Below are 20583 nucleotides of genomic sequence, written 5' to 3'. Positions count from 1 at the left end.
CAGCTGAGGCCAGGGCACAGAGAGCCAGTGTCACAGCCCGTCCTTTTCCTCCTCCTGTGTGGCCAGAAGCCAGACAGTGGAGACTGTGGCTGCGCGGGGAGGAGGGCAAGGGGATTTGTACCTATAGGAGCAGGTGCGATACATAGAAATGTATCTGCTGTAGCTTGAGAAAGACTGAAAGGTGAAAAATAAATGACCCAGGCCAGTGGTGGTGTGCCTCCTCCACTGTCCTGTTAGAGCCTACTCTTGACCCATGTGGCCCAAAGGACACCAAATGGTCCCATCACCCATACCCTGACAGCAGAACGAAGCCCTCCCTGCTCCAGATACTCTCCCAGCACTTGCCCACACCATGAGATGACCTCCGAAAGGAAGCCTTTTCCCTGTGCTGCTGTGGAGCCCCGGGAGGCTGGAGTAGAGCCTTGGGCCTAGGCCTTTTGTCTAATCATGGTTCCACGGTGACCCCAGCCCCTATGCAAGTGGCACACCTGTTGGAAGTTTGGCACTGGTGGGTTATGTCAACCTAGTCCCAAATCTAAGGGTTTATTTACATCTTGTAGGGATCCAAAACGCATCTTTGTTAAGCATGGGCTCACACAGGGTGAGTTCTCTGGATGTAGTCACTACATCAGCGGGGGAATGCTGGGGGGCACACCCCCCATCTCACAGACTTGGAAGGAAGTGAACCACCTCATATACCAAGCCACCCCAGAGCAGAAAGTCGGATACAGAGACTACTCGAAAAACATACTCATTTTACAGATAAGGGCCCAAAGGGCAAGGAGCTCATTTCTAGAGCTAGCCATAGAATAGGCTTTCCAGCCTAGGCTTCTGGAAAGAAGCCTATATGTCTTCTCATTCCCACTGGCTTGGCATGCAGCAGCTCTCAGAACCACCCTCTTCACTCCTGGTCTGAAATAGCCTAGCACTTAACTCTCCTCCCTCTGGTGACCCCACTGTAGCCATGCGAGCCTCCAGCCTGCCAGCCCCACCTGCACTGGGCTTACATTCACACCCAACACTCACTTACCACAGTCCTCCAAACCTTCCACGTACCTTCACCCCAACTTGGACCAACTGAGGAGAGTGTGAAACACGAATAGGAATTTCTTTAAAAGCGCAGCTGTACTGCTCCAAAACACTCAGAATAGGCTCTTCACACTTTAGGTCATCTGTACCAATGGGCATGGTTTGTAAAGATCATGAAATCTTTTCAAAGCACTGGGACTTAAAAATATTTAATTCACGAATTAATTAAACTGGTCCCTTCTCAACATCACTGATTTGTAGCACCTTTGCCAACCCTTCCTGGTATGTCTGAGACCAAGCCAGTTTCCTAAGAACCCACTTTCCACACATGGTGTTCAGGGTCCTTCTTTGGCAACGGTACACTCACGCCCGTCAGGACACAGCCGACCGAACACAGCACGTTTCTCCTGCACAACCAGGGGACCTGAACAGATCAGCTTTCCTGCCCATTCCTCCAAGCGCCAAGGAGGCTCAGGGTTTCCTGGGCTAGTTAGAAAGTTAATTGCAAAGCTCTGAGCTCAGATCAGAGCAGCGAGGAGCAAGGGTGGTCTCGGCTCAAAAGTTCTCTAAGAAGACCCCACCCTGGCATCACCCAGCACCAGGACAGAGCCTGCACCTGCTTATGAGCAAGCTGGGAAGACAAAAGCCAAGAGGCAGAGGGCAGGGGGGTGCCCCAGGGCGGCCCCTCCTTCCTTCAGCAAAGTTCTCCTTTTGGTTCAGATCCCACCGGGTGTGTATGGGAGAAAAGACCAGCACAGGAGTCTCGTCTATTTTGTTCCAGGCAGAAGTCTCTTGCCGGTGCCTCACCTACCTGGTCAAGGAGGCTGCAAGCACAGGGCGGCACTGGCTGCGGGGTCCACTTACCAGCGGGGGCTGCGGCTGGGGGTGCTGCCCTGCTCCCGAGGGGGGTGGGTAATGCATGAGCAGATTGAAGGCGGAGTAGACGGTCTCTTTGTACATGCCGCTGGTGCACTCCGGGGCCTTCAGGCCTGGAAAAACCACAGCTGGGTCAGACACACCAGCCCTGGCAGCGGCTGGGACTGAAGGCTGTCTGCTCTTGAGAGAAAAAGAATTGCCAAGGGGTCCCCTGCAAGTTCCTGACTTGGGAAGGAACGGGCTGGGAGTATCGGCAGTGCCAAGTTTTAGGGGAAGGACCTGGAGGGCAGGCCTCCCCGAGGTGGCCCCTACTTGACCTCCCACCCCCCGCCCTCCAACCAAGAAACCTTGGCCAATTCTGTCTCCTGAAGGCGGCGGATTAGTCAGTCACCTGGGCAGGAGGGGAGGCGGGGATGGCGGGGGTCTGTTTACTCCTATAAAGGTCAGGGCACCGGAAGTGACTCGACCCGGCGGCGCCCGGGAAGCCCGCCCCCCACTCTCCACCCCTGGGTTCTGCCGCCTCCTGAGCTGCGGTGGGGGAGGCACCCGGCTCCCCGCGGTCCTTGGCGTCCCCGTCCCACCGAGGCCAGGGCCTGAGCGCGACGAAGGGAAGCCGGGCCGGGCAGAAACTCACCGTCCTCCAGGGGCTCTGGAAGTTTGTCCGGGAAGAGTCTCTGCGCAGCGTGTTCCCGCCCGAGAGCCTGGAGGGAGAACCGGAGGGGAGTGAGGGGCGGTGGGACCGCGGGGGTCGGGGCCGACGCCGGGGCAGGGACGCTCTGCGCGCTGGAGACCCCGAGGGCCGCGCGCAACTGGGGCGGCGCGGCGCGGCGACCGCGGGGGAGGAGCCGGCGCCGGCGGGGGCTCACCTCGGCCTCGCCGCGGGCCCCGGCGCCGGCCCCCGGGACCCCCGGGATCCCTGCGCCGCCGGCCGCGCCCTCGGACTCGTTCACGAGCGACGACTTGAGCTCGGCCAGGTCGCGCTCGGGACCGGCGGCGCTGTCGCGGCTCTTGTCGTCCTGCTCCTCGCCTTCATCCTGGAAGGCCAGCAGCTCGTCCGGCGCGCCGAGGTCGTCGCCGCCGCCCGCGCCGCCCCCGCCGGAGTCCAGCTGCGGCATGGTGCGCTCCGCCCGCCGGGGCGCGGGGCGCTGGGCGCCGGGAGTGCGGGGCGCGGAGCCGGCCCGGGGGGCGGCGAGCCCGGAGTCCGAACCTCCGAGCTCGGATCGCGGCGGGCGGAGCGCGGGCTGACTCCGCCTGGGCGGGCTGCAGGCGCGGGCTAGGGCGCGGGGCAGAGCGGCTCCGCGAGCTGGCGGGTCGGAACATCAAAGGCGCCGCCGGCCGAGTGCCGGGGGCGGGGCGGGCACTGGGGGCGGGCCGGGCCGGGGGCGGGACACAGGTCCGCCCCGCCTCTCCTCTCCCGGGAGAGGCCGGGACGCGCCCACTCGGCATAGCCTTAAAGGGCTCGCTCTTCCGGAGCGCACCCTGAGAGAGACGTCGGACAAGCCTGGGAATGATCACCCTTCTCCCGAAACGCAGAGACTCTAACGGGAACTCCTGACCCCGCTTACTCACCTACAACCAGATATTCCCCCTGCTTTCTGCGCCCAGGTTTCTCCTCCGGCTGTGGAGGGCGGGGGTCCCCTAGGCCCTTGGGACTTGGGCGTGGCTTACCATCGCAGCCGTGGTGTGAACTGTATCGTGCCCAGGCTCCAATGCGCCCTGTGCTTTGAACTGGGGGCTTCCTAGGGCTTGAGGCTGCTTGAGGCTGTGCTCGTACCCCAGGGAACCGGCAGCGTTGGAACTCCGCGGCGCTGTTGCGGCTCTTGCCCCATCCTCCATCCCTGTGCCAATCAGGGACTTCCTTCTAGGCCGCCTGCATACAGTGCGAACATAAGTATACCCCCCTTCGCACATTTATTGAGCTCCTGTTGCGTGCAGAGCTTATACATCACACATCTGTGACGGGCCCCTCAGTCAGGCGACGGCTCCGAGCCGCGAACACAGCCAAGAGCACCGGACCTCAGCCGATCCTCCAAGTCCCAGCCCCTATGACTCTCCCAACTCGGTTCCGTGACTAGAACCTGCAGCCCGGAGACTCGGAACTTTGGGCAGCCACGTGGGCGCGGGATTCCGACATGGGTCGCTCGTCCACAGCAACTCAACCCTAGAAGTCGCATTTAGGGAGCCCATGACTCTGAAGTTGACCCTGGCCTGACTAACCCTCTAACCCTCGCTCGATCCAGGCTGAAACATCTAGATTTGCGGAGCGCGGGAAAGTGCCTGGATTCCAGCGCATCTGTATGGCACCCGGGTCTGCGTCCACGCGGGCCTCCACGGCGCGCTTGGCCTGGCTCAGCCCCTGCATCTACAAAAGACGCCGGTCCTTTGGATCGCGATGCAGTCAACAGCAGCTCCCCTAGCAGGTTTCTGTGCTGGGTTCACTGTAGACGCTCACGCCTCTTCTGAGAGCAGTTGGGATAGAGGGTATTTGGGGGAGGGCCGGGTATTGGACGCCTCTCCCTCTGAGGGCCCCACAGGACCCCTGGCAGCGGTGCAAAGCCGGGCCGGAAGACAGCCGTGCCTCCCTCCGGGTCCAGGCCCAGCGTGGCTGGCTGTGGATCAAAGAGCTAGGCCATGCTTCCCTGTGTTCAGATCCTATCTGTGCCCGCCCAGCCGGGTGTCTCGGACACCAGCCCCCACACCCCCCTCCCCCGCCACCTCCGGGCTAGGGTGCCCACTTTTCCTCCTTTCCCCAGGCTGGGGCTGGGGGGTGGCATGGGCACGAGTGCTCAGCTTGGTGATGGAGATGAGGGGGACCCTGCCCATTAGGTCTCCCCAGCCTCTTCCCAGGGTGGGCTTGCCGCTTAGTCTCGCCTCATCTGCTCCGGATTGGCGGGGAAGGGGGGGCTCGGCCCTGCCCGGAGGGGAGAGGTACAGGGACGGGAGTTCAGAGCCTCCGCCACCTCAACTCCTGAGGTTATAGGTAGGGTCTGGCATAGGGTGAGCCTCCTCTGGGACAGCTGAAAGGGAATCCGGATCTGCCCAACCCAATGGCTTTAGGGGTCCTCATGTGTTTGTAGGGAACCCTGGTTCAGCAGGAACGTCCTCCAGAATAGCTGTCCCCAGACCCATGAGTTCCACCGACACAGATCAGTGGAGGCTGAAGTGTTCTCCAGTCCTTGGAGAAAGGAGAAAAGTCACAACAACAGTGAGGTTCTTTTTGTTTTGTTTTGTTTTCTCAATAAGGTTAAAACTTTCCAGCTTCGTATTAGCCTTTAATCAAGGATTATGCCCTTACTGCTTTATTGGTGTGAAAACATCCTTTCTTTACTAAAATGGTGGTGGGACAAGTGTTTTTTTTCATGTCTTTATTTGGTGAAAGAACATAAGGAACATTTTTTTCCCCATCTGTTAACTCCCCCACCCTCAAGTTTCTTTGGACATTTTATAGTCTGGGAACAACTGTCCTATGGGGTCATAGCTCCAACTCCCCACCCTGCTGGCTGGAACCAGAGGAGAGGGTGGGTGAGTAGGGAGAGTGGGACTGTGAGGAGGCGTGAGGGAGAGAAGGGCTGAGTCACAGGCATCCACAGCCACACTGAAATCAGTCTGAAGGCTTGCTAAGGGATCATCTACTGTGTACCTAGCCCTGGCTTGGGCTGTGGAGAGGGAAGGGCTAGAGGTGTCTGCCTTCCAGGAGCCATTGGCTGCTTTGAGAAGCTGAAGAGTTATTAGAGCCGATTTAGGTGCTAGAGTAGTCTATACAGGTAATGGACAGAAAGAGCTCAGATATGGTGAGATCAATGTGGACTAGAGTAGTCAGGGTGGCTTCCTGAAGGAGGTAGATTTCATGTGGGCCTGGATGGCTTAGGAGGGTTTGGAAAGCTGGAAAGGAACAAGAGCTCTGATTTGTTCCCCAGAAGTTGGTGCGGCCCCACAGGAGTCCCTGGTCTAGTCAGCACTGATTCCTTCACCATCGTCTACACAACGACCAACCTCATATACTGAGTGATTACTATGTGCCAGGCATCCTGTCAAGAGCTTCACACACATTATCTCATTTAATCATCACACCAACCCTGTGACATAGGGACTCGTATCCCCATTTGACTAATGAGGAAACTGAAGCTCAGAGAGATGAAGTCACCTAAGTTCTCACAGCTTGAAAATGAAGGTGTCAGAATTTGAAACCCAGGCAGTCTGACTCCTGAGCCCACATCCTAACTATCACACTCTAGTGTTCCATTATAAAATTCCAGAGGGAGTCCTTATTTGCCTTGTGGTCTTGGCAGACAAATGCTGACAAATAAGCTGTCACTAATATGGAGCCCTGACTTTCTGGGTGGCTCATGTTGCATGAAGGGGGCCATCAACAGGATTAGGGAATCATCTTGGTGGTCTGTATAGGGGGCCCAAGACCTTTGCTGGCAGAGAGGGCCTAGAATCTCTCCCTTGAACCAGACAGATCTCAGTGTGTACCATCTCTCTGCTGAGCCCACCCGAGGCCACCTGTTCTGGGAATTGGCTCAGATCACATACACAGATGATAGACACTGGGGTTCTTCCACAGGGTAGTGAGTGCAATCTGCTGTGGTTGCCCCCCTGGAGGTGACCGGGGAGTTTCAGGACCAGGACCAGCTGCAAGGAGGCCCCAGAGTCTTCTGGATTCATCCAGACCAGGCCAGGGCTGGTGATTTAATAAGGCTTCATCTTCACGCAAATGAGCTTGCACTAGTCAGATGCTGGAAACAGGACTAAGTCAGGACTCCCAAGGCTTGAGGGTTGTTGGAGCAGATGAGCTCCAGCTTTAGATTTGGGCAGTCTTAAGTTTCCATCTCTGCCGTGCCACTTACTAGCTGTGGGACCCCAGGCAGATTGCTGACCCTCTCTGAGCCTCAGTCTCCCCATAGGTTAAATGGATGTCATACGCAGGCCTGCCCTGCTCTGTTGGAGTGCAGTCGAGATGAACCACTGTACCCTAGTGAAGAGCTTAGAACAGCAGCCTGGTGCATTCCAAGTGTCTAATGGGTGCTCTTGAACGAGATATTTTTCGGAAGTTGTTAGGCTAATTGGCTCTTCATGTAACGTCATGTAAATCATCTGAATGTTCTCATGGCCTGAGCCCACTTAATCATGGCTAGAGCTGAAAATATACATTTCCTTTCCTTTTCTTTCAAGCTCCTTTAACATGAAAGGCCCACGTGAACTCTGACCTTTTCTGACAGGGAGACCCTTGAAATGTGGCATTTCCAGAAAACGTCTCAAAGGAGCCCCAGATGGATTTAGTAAATTACAGCAAGGAGAGGTTGTGAGCGGCGTCTCTTCCTGCTCACCAGCCCGCCTGGCATCCTGTTGGGGCTTGCCCAAAGCCGCCGGGAGGCTGGGCTGCTGGCTCTCGGCAGGAGCACTTCCCATGGAGCATCCTCTCAGGGCAAAACCCGGTTACAGGTCCTAGAGGTAGACTGTGGTTTGTTACTAGAAACACGGTTTGCTTTCTGGAAACTCTGTGTAGTTTCACTGTTTGTTGGGGCGTGTGTGTCCATGTGTGTGCATGTAGGTGGTTGTGACCTACAGAAAGGCAAGCACACACAATTGCTGGGATGCTGCTACTCTGCATCAGGTACCAGGCAGCTGCCCTTAAAATGAAGCAAGGGGGCTTTGGGGTCAGTTCTTTCTTCATAAGGAAGGAAGGACTCTTCTGTGGGTTCTCCCCTCCTGCTCCATCCCTCGGACTTCATACAATAACCAAGAATTGTTATTAAAATAAAGACTTAATAACAAAATTGGCAGTTCATATTTCCTGATGAAATCCTAAGGAAACTTGGCCAAATTGGCTTGAGAGGTGATGGGCAAATTATGAGAAGAGCTGCCCCAGAGCTTCACAGGGCTTGTTAGGACTATTCCCATGGGTTATTTTTCCCACATTGTGCCAGCCATTGTTCCTGATGAATGGGTTTGGGGTTCCCTCACCAGAAGGAAACATTAGGCTTGAATTTCCCCAGGAAGGAGTCTAGAGTCAGAGACACCAAGGTGGCGACAGCGAAGGCAAACGTGGAGTGGCCACTGTGTGCCAGGTCCTAGGCTGCCGGGTGTACCAGTTGTCCAAGGGGTCGGGAGTGCCAGCCTGTGTCCTAGTCCCTGACCCAACACTGGCTTGCCGAGTGAAGTCAAGTCAGTCCTCTGCCTTCTTTGGGCCCAAATTCACCTGGAAGCTGCAGATGCCTCTAAGTTCTTTTTTTTTTTTTTTTTTTTTTGAGATGGAGCCTTGCTTTTATTGCCTAGGCTGGAGGGCAGTGGCACGATCTCGGCTCACTGCAACCTCTGCCTCCCAGGTTCAAGCAATTCTCCTACCTCAGCCTACCCAGTAGCTGGGATTACAGGCACCTGCCACCACGCTCGGCTAATTTTTGTATTTTTAGTAGAGATGGGGTTTCACCATGTTGGCCATGCTGGTCTCGAACTCCTGACCTCAGCTGATTCAACCACCTTGGCCTCCCAAAGTGCTGGGATTACAAGCGTGAGCCACCGCACCTGGCCAGGTGTCTCTAAGTTCTAAGGATGCCATGAAGAGCTTATGGCCTTGAGACCAGAGGTGAGAGACAAGCGGCGTCACAAATGCAGCAGAAGGTGGAGCACACCAAGGCCTGGTGTTCATGTGGGGGTCACCTGCAGCTTCACAGAGGAATACGCCTGCACTAAATCCTATGTGGCCTGGGGAGACAGCCTCAGACACACTGAGAGAGGAATGTCTTATTGAGAAAGAACTATTCAATATCGCTTTTTAAGACAGGGCTATACAGGGCTTTGTTGCTTATCCCTAGGGCCTGGCACAGAACTGGCAACCTGCGGTGCTCAGAAGTTTTTGGATGGATGGCTGAATGGAAGGATGGATCGATCATCCATAGCAGTGATCACTTAGAATCCAGGAAGTAGTTAGCAGGCCCCGTACCTGCCGTCAGGCAACTCACCATCTTGTGGAAGACATCAGGCGCTAAAGAGGCTCTGGGAGCCAGGGGTTCAGAAACCCTCCTGGCTGTTTTATGCATGTCATGGCACACAACATGGCAGTTAGGGAGGGCTTCCTGGAGGAAGGAGGTCCTAGGTCAGCCTAGGAGAGAAGAGGGATTAAAGAGGATGTGGCCTTTTCCGGGTGGGGCAGTAAGCCACACTCTGGGTGATGGTGGACTTTGACCCCATAGGGTCCCTGGGACCTAGGTGAACTAGGCCCTGGGGGAGAGTTTGGCCATCCATTGAACCTTGCCTAGAATGGCACCTTTTCATGTCTCAGTTCCTGCAGTCCTCCAACCCCTGCCACCTAGGACAATTCCTCCAAGTATTCCCTCCCCAGGACACTGGCTCTCCCTGTCTGCCCTCTCTCCTAGAATAGACTACCTCCCAGTATATGACCCACTGCCTTGCATGGGGCTTCAAGACTTTCCTGGCTCAGTGCCCCGAGGAAAGCTCACCCTCTTATTCCATATTCACCCCTCTCCAGCCCAGGACAACAGGGGTAGTAGGGGAAGGAGCAACGGGATGTGGTGGGCAGGGTAAATTTGAAGAGGACCTGTACCAGATCCTGTAGTCACTGCTCACCACAGCTCTAACCAGGCCTCCCGCCTGCCCAAATGGATTCTCACTTCTTGGGATCATGGCACCTTCATCTGTGGCCCTGCTGGATACTAACATGGGCCAAGCATACTGTGGCACTTAATAAATGCTTTCTGCCCAGGGGATGGGGCTGTTGCATAATGGTCCAATGTGTTTCTTCAGGCTCCCAGGGTGGGGGTTGGGAGTGGGGACGGACGGGTTTCCAGTTCGTTTGTTAGCTGGGCATTCTGCAGTCTGAGGCGTCTTTTTCTTTTTAAGGCCCATTCCTGGTCTCTTCCTAATCCAGGAAGCCTCCCCGCCTCCCCAGGTCTGCAGAGATACTTTCTCCTTTCAGGAGTCCCATTGCCTTTAGAATTGAAGCCACCATCATATCCTGAGCTGTTGGCCTCTGTTTCCTGTGAGTGAGTCTCCTGTCCCTCTGCTACTGTGTCTTTGTTTTCTGTTGGTCAAGAGCTGAGCTTGAAACTCATAGCCTGGGTGTGAAATCAGCTTCTCCACTTACTCAGTGTGAGCGGGACCTTGGGCAAGCCACCTCCTTCCTGGAGCCTTCTTTTTCTCATCTGTTAAGTGGGGGTAAGAGTAATATTTGTCTCAAAGAGCTGGGAAGATGGGATGAGTTCCTGCTTGTAGAGTACTTAGCCCAATGTCTAGGGCAGAGTAGATACTTGCTGAGTGGTGACTGTTGTCACTTATTGTTCCCAGGCAGCAGGGCTGAGCTCAGGACCAGGCCTGTCATGGTGCGTAGCATCTGTTGCCTGAGCAAGCAGCTGCCTTTGCAATCCTGCAATCTTGCAGGGGTCATGGGTGGAGAGTGGGGACCAGGGTGGGGAGGGCACCAGGAATCCTGCTTTCTGAGGCCAGGCTGAGGCTGCCAGGACGTTCAGCCTGAGTGGTGACTCCTCTTGCCAAGAGATGGCCATCTCCAGATGTCTGCAGGTTGGAGGAGCCGGCTGGCCATGTAGGGGCCTGGGGGCAGAGACAGGACTAATGGGAGGAAATTACACAGAGAGATTTCATCTCGGCTTGAGGAAGCACGTCTAGCAGTCAGAGCTGGCCAGCCATGGCCCGGCCGGGCTGCAGCAGAGGCAGTGAGCTCCCTGTCACCAGAGGTGTATGAGCAGAGGCTGGGGGCTCTCTAGGGAGGGAAGCCACGGAGGGGCTGTCTGCCCTCCTGGCCCCTCTGAGGCTGTGAGCAGTCCCTTCTACTTCCTGTGCGGCTTTGCCCATCACTTGGCCCGGTTGAGCCTACTGCAGGCATCTGACCAGCTGCAGGCTCTGAGGTGAGTGTGAGGGCAAAGGTTTGGACACCTCTGGCTCCAAAGTGGGGCTGGAGGCTAGAGCAGGGGTGGTCTCTGTAAGAGTCTGATCTCAAGGGGGCCTCATACCAACAACATCACCTTCTTTTTGGAGAGGCAGCCTAGTGGAGTGGCTGGTAGCCTTAGGCCTTCTGGGGCCAGGGAGGACAGAGACCAGAGGGAGGGATTATTCTTAAGCCAGCCACCCCTCACAGGCTTCAACTTTTTCTAAAACCAGGAACTGGAAGGAGAAAGATGGGAAGAAATAGGAGAGAAGAGAGCCTGGGTTTCCATTTTGCTCCCGCCACTTGGTAGCTCTGTGGCTTTGGCAGGTCACTTACCCTTTTTTGGTTCGTAAGTCACTTACCCTCTTTGTCACTTACCCTCTTTGGTATCATCTGTAAGATAGGATGACGGGCCAGGCGCGGTGGCTCACGCCTGTAATCCCAGCACTTTGTGAGGCTGAGGCGGGTGGATCACGAGGTCAGGAGTTGGAGACCAGCCTGGCCAACATGGTGAAACTCCATCTCTACTAAAAATACAAAAATTAGCTGGGTGTGGAGGCGCGCACCTGTAATCCCAGATACTCGGGAGGCTGAGGCAGGAGAATCGCTTGAACTCAGGAGGCAGAGGTTGCAGTGAGCTGAGATCATGCCACTACACTCCAGCCTGGGTGACAGGATGAGACTCCATTTAAAAAAAAAAAAGAGGATGACAACACTGCCTGTCTCACTGGAATCTTGTAAGGATTAAATGGTTACTGTTTTTAACGTAGTTGGAAGAGTTTGTGGTCCTGTGTTTGTTAAATATACACAAATTAACTTCCCAGCTCACCCATGCCTAGTATTATGCAAGGGGCTTCACATCAATTACCTTGTTTGGTCTTCACCACAGCCACATGAGCTTGGAATGACTATTATTAGGGAAAGTGGACCCAAGAAGGTCAAGTTCCTTGCCTGAGGTCACACAGCTAGTAAAAGGCAGAGCAAAGGTTGAAACTCAGGATGGTCTGTCTCCAGGACCGGGGCTCTCCACCACTCGGGCCTGCCTATTCCAGGGCTGGCAGCCTCTCTACAGAGGTGAAGCGTCTACTGGATCACTTTTGACCAACAACACATCAGCCGGCAGAGGAAGGAGGGGTGGGCCAAGAAGGGCCCCTTCCCTCTCAGGCCGGAGAGATTCCTCTGACTAATTTGCTGAGTGACTTCGATGGCAAACTGCAGCCCTGTTCCCTCCAGCTGAGTAAGCTCCATCATGGGGTCCTAGAAAGAGGGAGTTTCTAGTGTGGGCACCTCCCAAAGTCAGATGAGGGGTTGGCTGTGTTTGCCTGGGCAGGGGCACTGCCAAGGGAGCAGGGCCACCCCAGATGGCCTCCAGGAGCAAGGCACAGGAGCTGGGAGACCCGGGTCCCCATGCAGCTTCCCTGGGTGTGGGTGGTGGCTGCAGCCTAGGGTGTTTTGCTCACTCTCATTTTCTGTTTTGTCCCAACAGGACTCCTCCGTCTTGCTCATGACTGGGTCCCCTGGGCAGAGCCAGGTCCTGGCAGAGAGCAGATATCCAGTAAATACCTCTTGGCCCTAAGAATGACTGGGAACACTCATGTAGCGAGAACACCTTCCTGTGTGTTATCTCATCTCATCCTCACAGCAGCCCAGAGAGGTAGGTCTTTTAACCCCATTTTACAGACGTGGAAACTGCGGCTCAGAGAGCGGAAGTGACTCGCCCAGGTCATAAAACTCAAACTTTTGGGCTCCAAAGTTTTGGGGCTCCAAACTGACTATAGTTCTGCAGCCTACAGAGAGCTCGCCCTGTTCCTTTTGTGAGGATAGTGGGGGGCAGCAGGAACCCCAAGTTATTGGAGGCCTCCCCTGGCCTCCTTTAACACAGAGGAGCTCCTGGGATATCAATGGGGGTGGTGTTATCAGCCAGCAGGGGGACAGAGCCTGGGGCTGCAGAGCTTCTGGTGGAGGTGGGGCATCTCAGGGTTGCTGATGGTCATCCATTCACGGAGCGAGTTCTTTCCCAGCCTCTGCTGGGTACCAGGGCTAGACAGGGCCATGCTCTCAGGAGCTCTCGGGAGGTAGGCTAGATGGGTCCAAGTCACTGTCCCAAGGCGGGGGCGTCAGAGTGCCGCCTCACTTGCAGGGAATAGCATGCTGTTTACGGGAGACAGTATCAAGGAACCGCTTGGGACCCCCTGCCCCCATGACTGCAGCCTTCAGAGCTGTCTGGGATTGGGCGTGGCAGGGCAGCTCCTCCGAGTGCATCCGTTGTGAGTGGTGAAAGTATATCCCCTCGCTTTGGGGTCACTGGTGGGCCCCTGTGGTTTTCCTTGTCAGCTTTGCTGTTTTTAGTCTTTGTTCACTGCTCTGTTATTACCGACATCTTAAAGGGTTTCCCCATCGTGGTCAAGTTGGTCTTTTGTTTTTAGAATTTTAGAATTTCTCTCCTTTTCTCCCCTTTCTCCTCCTGGCCCATGGTTTTGGAAAAAGCTGAAGCAGGAGGTAGGTGGGGGAGGGAGGTTAAAAGCAACCCCACCCTGCATCCCTTGCCTCCCTCTCCCTACCCCCAGCAGGCCTGAGGGGCCCCCAGGGTGGACCTAGCTCAGAGGGCAGCATCTCGGGCAGAGGGCACCCTTATAAACTGGAGATTCTTGTTCCTGTTCTAAGCGGAGCTTTGGTGCCTCTCGCCCTGCACGTACAAGACCCTTTGTGCAGTGATCCAGCCACTCTCCCTCCCTCCGGGATTCTCACCCGCTCAGGGATGCCCACCCACTGTGGGCAGCCGCCAGCACCCCTGCACCCACTGAGTGTGAGCAAGTCACCTCCCTTCTTGGGGCTTGTAGTGGCCTGGGAAAATGGGTACATGGCAGAGACAGATGAGGGATGAGGGGAAGGGCTTTCATGGGGCCTCTCTGCTCATCCCTGATTCATTGTAGGACTGGTTCTGTGGCCAAAAACTCCCCTTCTGAAATTCACAGCCCCTTGGTTGGGGCGGGGGTTTCCTCATTTGCAGCAGGCTGGGCCCTAGTGACGTAACTTGCCCATCATGGTGGATTTCGGGACCCAGGCCAGGGCTCAGGGTGGGCCGGGTGGGTCCCTCCAATCTGCCCCTGGGGCTGGTGCCTGGCATCTGGTTCTGAGAAGGTGGGAACTGAGGAGCTGAGGAAGCCCCAGGTCCTCAGAGATGAGCCTGCCTTTCTACTTCCACCTAGGAGCCGAGCAGCGCTCCTAGTGCCCCTTGCTCAGCCCTGCTCCTAGGACCTCAAACTGGGGAGGGACAGAAGTCCCAAGGCTTTTTGCCCCCGCTCCTCCTGCTACAAGATAGTGTGGTGTTCTGGCCTGTGCCTGAACTACTCACGCTTGTGTGGCGGCGCTGGTAAACATTTCGTTTTATGTTTGAGGATGAGATTCAAATCTGCAGGGGGGAAGCACTTAAAAACAACCCTTTGGCTGCTGGGACTCATACCTGAGACAGGCTCACAGTGTGTCTGCATTTCCAAGCGTGAGAAATGCTGTCTGGGCCTTTCCTTTGTGCCCACAGAAAGTCTCGAAGTACTCAGGGCACCAGCTTGAAGGCTGGCGGAGAGCTAAACTATGAGGCCCTTGCAGAGGGGAGTCGATCTCTCCTGCCATGGGAGGTGCCAGAGCACCCAGAGAAACAACGGTGTCAGTTGGTGTGAAGTTAAAGAATGACACCAGCCTGGCACAGTGGCTCATGCTTGTAATACCAGCACTTTGGGAGGCCGAGGTGGCCGGATCACTTGGAGCCCAGGAGTTTGAGACCAGCCTGGGCAACATGGCAAAACCCCATCTCTAGAAAAAATACAAAAGTTAGCCAGGTGTGATGGTACATGCCTGTAGTCCCAGCTACTCGGGAGGCTGAGGTGGGCGGATGGCTTGAGCCTGGGAGGTGGAGGCTACAGTTAGCTGAGATTGCACCACTGCACTCCAGCCTGGGTGACAGAGCCAGACCCTGTCTCAAATAAATAAATAAATAAAAGAATGACACCGTCTGGACAGGGCGTGGGGTCATGACGTGCCCCAAATAGCAGAGACTCTGAGCTGAGCCGGCCCTCAGAGGGGAGGGAGGACAGTGAGGGCTCCTGCGGGAGGGGCAGAGGTCTTGGGAGCAGAGGCTGAGGTTTGGTCCTCCCTGTCCCACCTTCTCTGGGACCACCTTTGAACACCAAAGAAAGAGACTCTAACAACTCCCTGAGAACTCAGGGAGACTCAGGAGAACACTAGGACCTCCAGACATGCACCCAGGGGAAACTGAGGCCCAGAGGCAGGGACCCTCCTCTGCCCTATAGCCCAAACTCAGGAAATCTTGAAGCATGCAGCTAAGTAAAACAAACCAGAAAACCCAGAGCACCCATGTCATGAATTGACCATGAGTTGCTTTTGTAATTAAAAAAATATTATTTAATGTTTTTATTTTATTTTATTTTTTTGAGACAGAGTTTCACTTTTGTTGCCCAAGCTAGAGTGCAATAGCATGATCTCGGCTCACCACAACCTCCACCTCCCGGGTTCAAGCGATTCTCCTGCCTCAGCCTCCCGAGTAGCTGGGATTACAGGTTTGCGCCACCACGCCTGGCTAATTTTGTATTTTTAGTAGAGACGGGGTTTCTCCATGTTGGTCAGGCTGGTCTCGAACTCCCGACCTCAGGTGATCCGCCCACCTCAGCCTCCCAAAGTGCTGGGATTACAGGCTTGAGCCACCGCGCCAGGCCTAATATTATTTTTAAAATGCAGGTGGAAATAAAAGCTTTGGGGTGGGGGGGGTAGAGGGTGGGGGGATGGGCTGGGGAGTCTGCTCCATTCAGACCACGAGTGCACTCACTGCACTGGCCCCGGATGACCCTGTGGCCCGTTCCTCAGCCTCCTCCCCTCTCAGCCCAGGCGAGGCCCAGAGTCCCCCCAGAGCGGCGGGGGCTGCTCACAGACCCCCCCTGGTGGCTGGATTTGGAAGGGGCCGTGCCTCTCAACTGCAGGAGTGGGAAGTAACCAGGGTGATGTTTGGACCCGGGACCCTCAAAAGGAAACCGCTCCCCTGTGCCTCCCATCACAGCTGCTGCCGCTGAATAGTGGAGGATGGGCATGCAGTCTCGTTCCAGTCACCAGGGAGCTGCGACAGCGTTCTCGCCTGGACTCCGAAGCTGGCCTACTGGCCAGCATGTTGGTTCCCATGACTCCTAGAAGGGTGTCTCTTGGAATGAAGTCTCTAACACGGGGCCTAATGGGAGGGTCAGGCTGCATCTGAGCCCTGGCAGCTGCTCAGCAGTTCTGAAACTCCTGCTGGAGCCCCACATCAGTGTTGGTGACAGCTGTGACACACAGCTGACGAGGACCCCAGTGAGGGATGGCACAAGGTGTCCCTGAGAGTGATCCAGCAGTCAGGAGTCCCGACCCTACCCTGACACAGCTACTCAGGCTGGTGGGATAATAGCAATAACAATGGTGACAGGAACAATGTTAACTCACATTTACGGATTACCTCCTGTGCCGACGCCGGTGAAGCTCACAACAGCTCACAGGCCAGGACTCTTTTTTTTTTTTTTGAGACAGAGTCTCGCTCGGTCACCCAGGCTGGAGTGTGGTGGTGGATCTCGGCTCACTGCAACGTCAGCCTCCTGAGTAGCTGGGACTACAGGCATGCACCACCACGCCCGGCTAATTTTTTTGTATTTTTAATAGACATGGGGTTTCACCATGTTGGCCGGGCTGGTCTCGAACTACTGACCTCGGGTGATCTGCCTGCCTCGGCCTCCCAAAGTGCTGGGATTACAGGCGTGAGCCACCGCGCCTGGCCAATCCTGTGTTTCTTAATTAACAGCATCATCTTCTAGGTGAGAGAATTAGGGGCTCGGAGAAAGGAAGTGCCCAAGGTCAGGCCCCTGGAAACTGAGAGGAGCAGGATTTGAAGCCATGCTGGTCCCTTGAGGGTGGCAGAAAATCCAGACATGTGTCAGGAGCTGAAGGTGGCCTTCGTCAAGGACTTCAGGGCATCCTGCCATCACAGAGAATGTCTGGTTTCCGTTGGGATTACTCCTTGCAAGCAACAGAAATCAGCTCTGGTGGTCTTGCAGAATAGTTTGCTGCATGTGTATGGGTAGCTCAGAGAATGGATCAGAAGGAGGAAGCCAGGCCAAGAAAAATATGAGCATGGAGCCCTGGGGCCTGCAAGGCAGCAACTGCTCCCAGGTCCAGTTCCAGCTCTGCCCCTGGGATGAATCCACTTCTGCCTCTTTCTCTGCTTAGATGTAATTTCTGAGCCCAAGAACCCAGAGAGAAAGTCAAGGGGCCTGGCTGAAGTGCCATGGCCCCTGCCCATCCTGGATGGGAGGCACAGCACTTTCTTGGAGGGTTCTAGAGTGCTGGGCCATGGCCAGGGCTTTTTAAAGGAGTGAAACAGAGAGGGAGCTGGAGGGGATTCCCCGACGGAGTCTCGGCCGGCTCTGGTTTTTCACACTGTAATTCTGCTTCTGGTCCTTGGTGTGAGTCACATGTGAAAGTACCTTGTTTTGCTAGGCCTGCGTCTGCTGCTGCCACCCCCTTCACAGGAGCTGCTACCTCTAGGCAGGAGGCTGCAGGCTGGGTCCCAGGCTGCAGGGAGCCCAGATCTAGATCACAGGCAGGACCCCCTGTCTGTCACGGGGTGCCGCGGTTGTGGGAATAAAGTATTAGAGACTGTAATCTTGGGGCTAAGCACTGGGGGAATTTTCCATTCTTTGCATCGTATGCAAATCAAATGTGAATGTATGTAAATGAGGGGGATACTCTCAAAGCTTAATGCCTGGGTAAGATTAGAAAGGAAGGTAGCTCTGGCTGGTTTGTGCCTCCTCTGCCCTAAAAATATTTAACCCCAGCTTGCTTTCAGGGAGAGCCCTGACTGCCTCCTCCTCCTGGAGACCAGCCCAGGCCACTGCTAGGGTCTATACTCCTGGCACTTAGTACTCCCTGAGGGGCCTCCACTCCTTGTGAGAAGGAGGTGGGGCATCAAAGCTAGATTAACAAATAAAAAGCATCCTGCTGCTTCTGTTTTCTCTGCCTGTGCCTATGCACAGGGCCAGCCACATAAGGCTGGGCTCACAGGGCGTGTTTGGATTGACCCCATACCAACCAAGGGGCCAGGCTGTACCAGCGAGGCCTGGGGAATGTGGGATGGACCCCTTCCCACTCTGTCTCAACCCTGGGCCTGGACGATAGGTTCTGGGGAGATAAAGAAGGTAGTTGGGGCCAGGCATGGTGGCTCTCACCCACAATCCCAGCACTTTGAGAGGCCGAGACTGGAGGATTACTTGAGTCCAGGAGTTTGAGACCGGCCTGGGCAACTTAGGGAGACCCTGTCTCTACAAAAAATAAAAACAAAATTAGCTGGGGATGATGGCATGCGCCTGTAGTCCAGCTACTTGGGAGGCTGAGCTGGGAGAATTGCTTAAGCCAAAGAGGTCAACGCTGCTGCGTGTTGTGATTGCACCACTGCCCTCTAGCCTGGGTGACAGAGCAAGATCCTGTCTCAAAAAGTAAAAGTTAAAAAAAGAAGGTGGTTGAGAAAGGTGAGAAAGGCTGCCTCCAGGAGGCCGTGCAGCATGTTCATTATGACTCCCCAGACGTGATGCTCTGACCCTCTGCAGCTGTGCCGGACTGCGCCAGGCTGGTCAGATAAGGAGCATGAGCCAGAGGAGGAAGTGGAAAGGAAGCGGGTGAGAGGGACCCCATGGGCTCCAGCCTCCTCTAGCATCCCCAAACGGCACCTTTAGGGCCCTGAGAAGCAGAGGGGCTTTCTGGGAATGTAAAAGGCTGGTCCCATTGAAGAGCAGTTCTGCAGTGACAGAGGGTAAGCCGGAGCCACCCTCCCCAAGCCAGACCCAACCAGATGCTGGCTTTTTTTGATGGCCTAAATCACAGTCCACCCAAAGCCCTACTTTTAAGAGTCTGTGCTCGACCTGAAGCACACAGGCTGTGAGCTGGTAAGTTTCAATGAGTCCTGCCTTTCCTGCCTGTCCACCTCTCTGCCCGCCTTCCTTCTCTCCTACAGTGTCTCTCTATGAGTCTCCGTTTCTCCTCTGTGTCAGAATTTTACCCAGTATTTGTGCAGCCCCAGCGGCGCCTGGTCTCCCTTCTCATTGCTCCTTCAGGATCAGAGCCTGGAGTCCAGCCTGGCTTGCCCACTGCTCCTGAACAGGTTCGGCCTTCAAAATTACAGGCCTTCAAACATGACTTTGGATCTGGTGCAGCTGAGCTGGTTTGTTTTCCTACCCATTGTGGACTAGAACTTGGACCTTTTGCACTTTGCTCCCTCCCCAGGTGACTCAACCCTCTGGGAGGGCCCCTCAGGGTAAGAGTAGGAGCTGGACTTGCCCTGGTCACCGTGGCCTTAGTCCCCTCACTTGTGCAGGCTGCAGACAGCCCCAAGGAAAAGATCAGGCCCAGCTCATGCAGAAGGCCTAGAGGCCTGGGGCCAAGGGTCTTCATGTTATAAAGATGGAGCTGGTGGTCAGGGCCACCAGGACACCACCACCTGTCCAGGAGGTTGAGAGGGGAGCATTGTCAGAGGTTAGCAGAGGACTGGTCTGAAAGAAAGGAATCCTTGGCCGGGTGTGGTGGCTCACGCCTGTAATCCCAGCACTTTGGGAGGCTGAGGCAGGCAGATCACCCGAAGTCAGGAGTTTGAGACAAGCCTGGCCAATATGGTGAAACCTTGTCTCTACCAAAAATACAAAAATTAGCCGGTCATGGTGGTGGGTGCCTGTAATCCCAGCATGGTGGTGGGTGCCTGTAATCCCAGCTATTTGGGAGGCTGAGGCAGGAGAATTGCTTGAACCTGAGAGGTAATGGAGGTTGCAATGAGCTGACATCGTGCCACTGCACTGCGGCCTGGGTGACAGAGCAAGACTCTGTCTCAAAATAATAATAATAATAATAATAATAATAATAATAATAATAAGCAGGGCATGGTAGCTCACACCTGTAATCCCAGCATTTTGGGAGGCTGAGGCTAGTGGATCCCCTGAGGTCAGGAGTTTGAGACCAGCCTAGGCAAAATGGTCAAACCCCGTTCTCTACTAAAAATACAAAAATTAGCCAGGCGTGCTGGCAGGCGCCTGTAATCCCAGCTACTCGGGAAGTTGCGGCTGGAGAATTGCTTAAACCTGGGAGGCAGAGGTTGCAGTGAGCCGAGATCTTGCCGTTGCACTCCAGCTAGGCAACTAGAGCGAAACTCTATCTCAAAAAAAAAAGAAAGAAAGAAAAAGAAAAAGAAAGGAATCCTTGTGTTGGCAAGACTTGTACTGTGAGGGTCCCAGTGGAAAAACCTTCAGAACCTTGAGCTGCAGTTGCAGGCAAAATTAGACGTCTGGCTCCTTCTATGTCTGTGGGCCTCATTTTGAGAAAACACACACTCTTCTATTCTCCCCGCCACGTCCAGAGGAGCATTTTCACCACCTTCACCAGCAGCCCCTCCACCGTGGGTGAGGGCTGCGGGACCAAGCACCTTCCAGCCATTGAAATGACCTCTACAGGGTGAACCGAGGTGGCCGAGGGCTTCCAGGAAGAGGCTCCCCTACGCCTGTGCTCATCTGTGATCAGGAAACATGCCCTCACCATTTCAACAACCAAAGGCTTTTTGAAAGAGTTTTGTGTTGTGGCTGTTCTGGATGAAGTTCTTGATGATCTAATTTTAAAAACCTTTTTTTCCCTGGACCCTCTGTGAGTTGCCATAGAGATAAGTTAGAGGCAAACAGAGCTAATGAGCTTGGTTGGGTCTTTTGTGT

General features: G+C 55.1%; 2 protein-coding genes across 31 annotated transcripts in view, besides 14 other annotated features; one reads left to right on the top strand and one right to left on the bottom strand.

Annotated features, from left to right (window-relative positions):
* TCF7 (transcription factor 7) overlaps positions 1-9709 on the bottom strand; it is a 39993-nt gene extending 30284 nt beyond the window's left edge. For 11 of the 27 annotated variants that reach the window (XM_006714678.4, XM_047417633.1, XM_011543606.2 and 8 more), the window contains exons 1-3: positions 2772-3246; positions 2540-2606; positions 1894-2018 (exon numbers count right to left, since the gene is read on the bottom strand). In XM_006714678.4, the coding sequence (XP_006714741.1) occupies positions 1894-2018; positions 2540-2606; positions 2772-3020 (441 nt within the window). In that variant the 5' untranslated portion in view covers positions 3021-3246. Of the gene's footprint in view, positions 1-1840; positions 2315-2539; positions 2607-2771; positions 3247-3573 lie in introns of those variants that run through there. The other 16 variants (XM_047417636.1, XM_047417640.1, XM_047417634.1 and 13 more) reach the window with 5 other exon arrangements.
* Positions 3170-3289: a silencer, noted in NCBI's record as "silent region_16355". NCBI's record gives its function as "represses an Ori minimal core promoter by ATAC-STARR-seq in GM12878 lymphoblastoid cells {active_cell/tissue: GM12878}" and the evidence as "EXISTENCE:reporter gene assay evidence [ECO:0000049][PMID:35858748]".
* Positions 3380-3609: an enhancer, noted in NCBI's record as "active region_23127". NCBI's record gives its function as "activates an Ori minimal core promoter by ATAC-STARR-seq in GM12878 lymphoblastoid cells {active_cell/tissue: GM12878}" and the evidence as "EXISTENCE:reporter gene assay evidence [ECO:0000049][PMID:35858748]".
* VDAC1 (voltage dependent anion channel 1) overlaps positions 3387-20583 on the top strand; it is a 142670-nt gene continuing 125473 nt past the window's right edge. For 3 of the 4 annotated variants that reach the window (NM_001401009.1, NM_001401010.1, NM_001401011.1), the window contains exons 1-2: positions 11783-12047; positions 12297-12464. The gene's annotated coding sequence lies outside the window, so the exon portion shown is untranslated. Of the gene's footprint in view, positions 4326-11782; positions 12048-12296; positions 12465-20583 lie in introns of those variants that run through there. The other variant, NM_001401008.1, reaches the window with a different exon arrangement.
* Positions 7205-7254: an enhancer, noted in NCBI's record as "active region_23126". NCBI's record gives its function as "activates an Ori minimal core promoter by ATAC-STARR-seq in GM12878 lymphoblastoid cells {active_cell/tissue: GM12878}" and the evidence as "EXISTENCE:reporter gene assay evidence [ECO:0000049][PMID:35858748]".
* Positions 7375-7474: a silencer, noted in NCBI's record as "silent region_16354". NCBI's record gives its function as "represses an Ori minimal core promoter by ATAC-STARR-seq in GM12878 lymphoblastoid cells {active_cell/tissue: GM12878}" and the evidence as "EXISTENCE:reporter gene assay evidence [ECO:0000049][PMID:35858748]".
* Positions 10098-10645: an enhancer, noted in NCBI's record as "H3K4me1 hESC enhancer chr5:133442973-133443520 (GRCh37/hg19 assembly coordinates)". NCBI's record gives its function as "activates a minimal SCP1, AML or CMV promoter by ChIP-STARR-seq in primed H9 embryonic stem cells {active_cell/tissue: H9 hESC(primed)}" and the evidence as "EXISTENCE:reporter gene assay evidence [ECO:0000049][PMID:30033119]".
* Positions 11630-12498: an enhancer, noted in NCBI's record as "H3K4me1 hESC enhancer chr5:133441120-133441988 (GRCh37/hg19 assembly coordinates)". NCBI's record gives its function as "activates a minimal SCP1, AML or CMV promoter by ChIP-STARR-seq in naive H9 embryonic stem cells {active_cell/tissue: H9 hESC(naive)}" and the evidence as "EXISTENCE:reporter gene assay evidence [ECO:0000049][PMID:30033119]".
* Positions 12792-12841: an enhancer, noted in NCBI's record as "active region_23125". NCBI's record gives its function as "activates an Ori minimal core promoter by ATAC-STARR-seq in GM12878 lymphoblastoid cells {active_cell/tissue: GM12878}" and the evidence as "EXISTENCE:reporter gene assay evidence [ECO:0000049][PMID:35858748]".
* Positions 14238-15108: an enhancer, noted in NCBI's record as "H3K4me1 hESC enhancer chr5:133438510-133439380 (GRCh37/hg19 assembly coordinates)". NCBI's record gives its function as "activates a minimal SCP1, AML or CMV promoter by ChIP-STARR-seq in naive H9 embryonic stem cells {active_cell/tissue: H9 hESC(naive)}" and the evidence as "EXISTENCE:reporter gene assay evidence [ECO:0000049][PMID:30033119]".
* Positions 15470-16437: an enhancer, noted in NCBI's record as "H3K4me1 hESC enhancer chr5:133437181-133438148 (GRCh37/hg19 assembly coordinates)". NCBI's record gives its function as "activates a minimal SCP1, AML or CMV promoter by ChIP-STARR-seq in primed H9 embryonic stem cells {active_cell/tissue: H9 hESC(primed)}" and the evidence as "EXISTENCE:reporter gene assay evidence [ECO:0000049][PMID:30033119]".
* Positions 15595-15889: an enhancer, noted in NCBI's record as "tiled region #13334; K562 Activating DNase matched - State 12:CtcfO". NCBI's record gives its function as "activates a minimal TATA promoter and a strong SV40 promoter by Sharpr-MPRA in K562 cells {active_cell/tissue: K562}" and the evidence as "EXISTENCE:reporter gene assay evidence [ECO:0000049][PMID:27701403]".
* Positions 16277-16326: an enhancer, noted in NCBI's record as "active region_23124". NCBI's record gives its function as "activates an Ori minimal core promoter by ATAC-STARR-seq in GM12878 lymphoblastoid cells {active_cell/tissue: GM12878}" and the evidence as "EXISTENCE:reporter gene assay evidence [ECO:0000049][PMID:35858748]".
* Positions 17241-17490: an enhancer, noted in NCBI's record as "active region_23123". NCBI's record gives its function as "activates an Ori minimal core promoter by ATAC-STARR-seq in GM12878 lymphoblastoid cells {active_cell/tissue: GM12878}" and the evidence as "EXISTENCE:reporter gene assay evidence [ECO:0000049][PMID:35858748]".
* Positions 17501-17620: an enhancer, noted in NCBI's record as "active region_23122". NCBI's record gives its function as "activates an Ori minimal core promoter by ATAC-STARR-seq in GM12878 lymphoblastoid cells {active_cell/tissue: GM12878}" and the evidence as "EXISTENCE:reporter gene assay evidence [ECO:0000049][PMID:35858748]".
* Positions 18275-18569: a silencer, noted in NCBI's record as "tiled region #12956; HepG2 Repressive non-DNase unmatched - State 1:Tss, and K562 Repressive DNase matched - State 8:EnhW". NCBI's record gives its function as "represses a minimal TATA promoter and a strong SV40 promoter by Sharpr-MPRA in HepG2 and K562 cells {active_cell/tissue: HepG2 | K562}" and the evidence as "EXISTENCE:reporter gene assay evidence [ECO:0000049][PMID:27701403]".

The sequence above is a fragment of the Homo sapiens genome, chromosome 5 (assembly GCF_000001405.40).
Source record: "Homo sapiens chromosome 5, GRCh38.p14 Primary Assembly".
NCBI lineage: Eukaryota > Metazoa > Chordata > Mammalia > Primates > Hominidae > Homo > Homo sapiens.
Note: the sequence above shows the minus strand (reverse complement) of the source record. Positions and strands in the feature narration are given on the sequence as shown.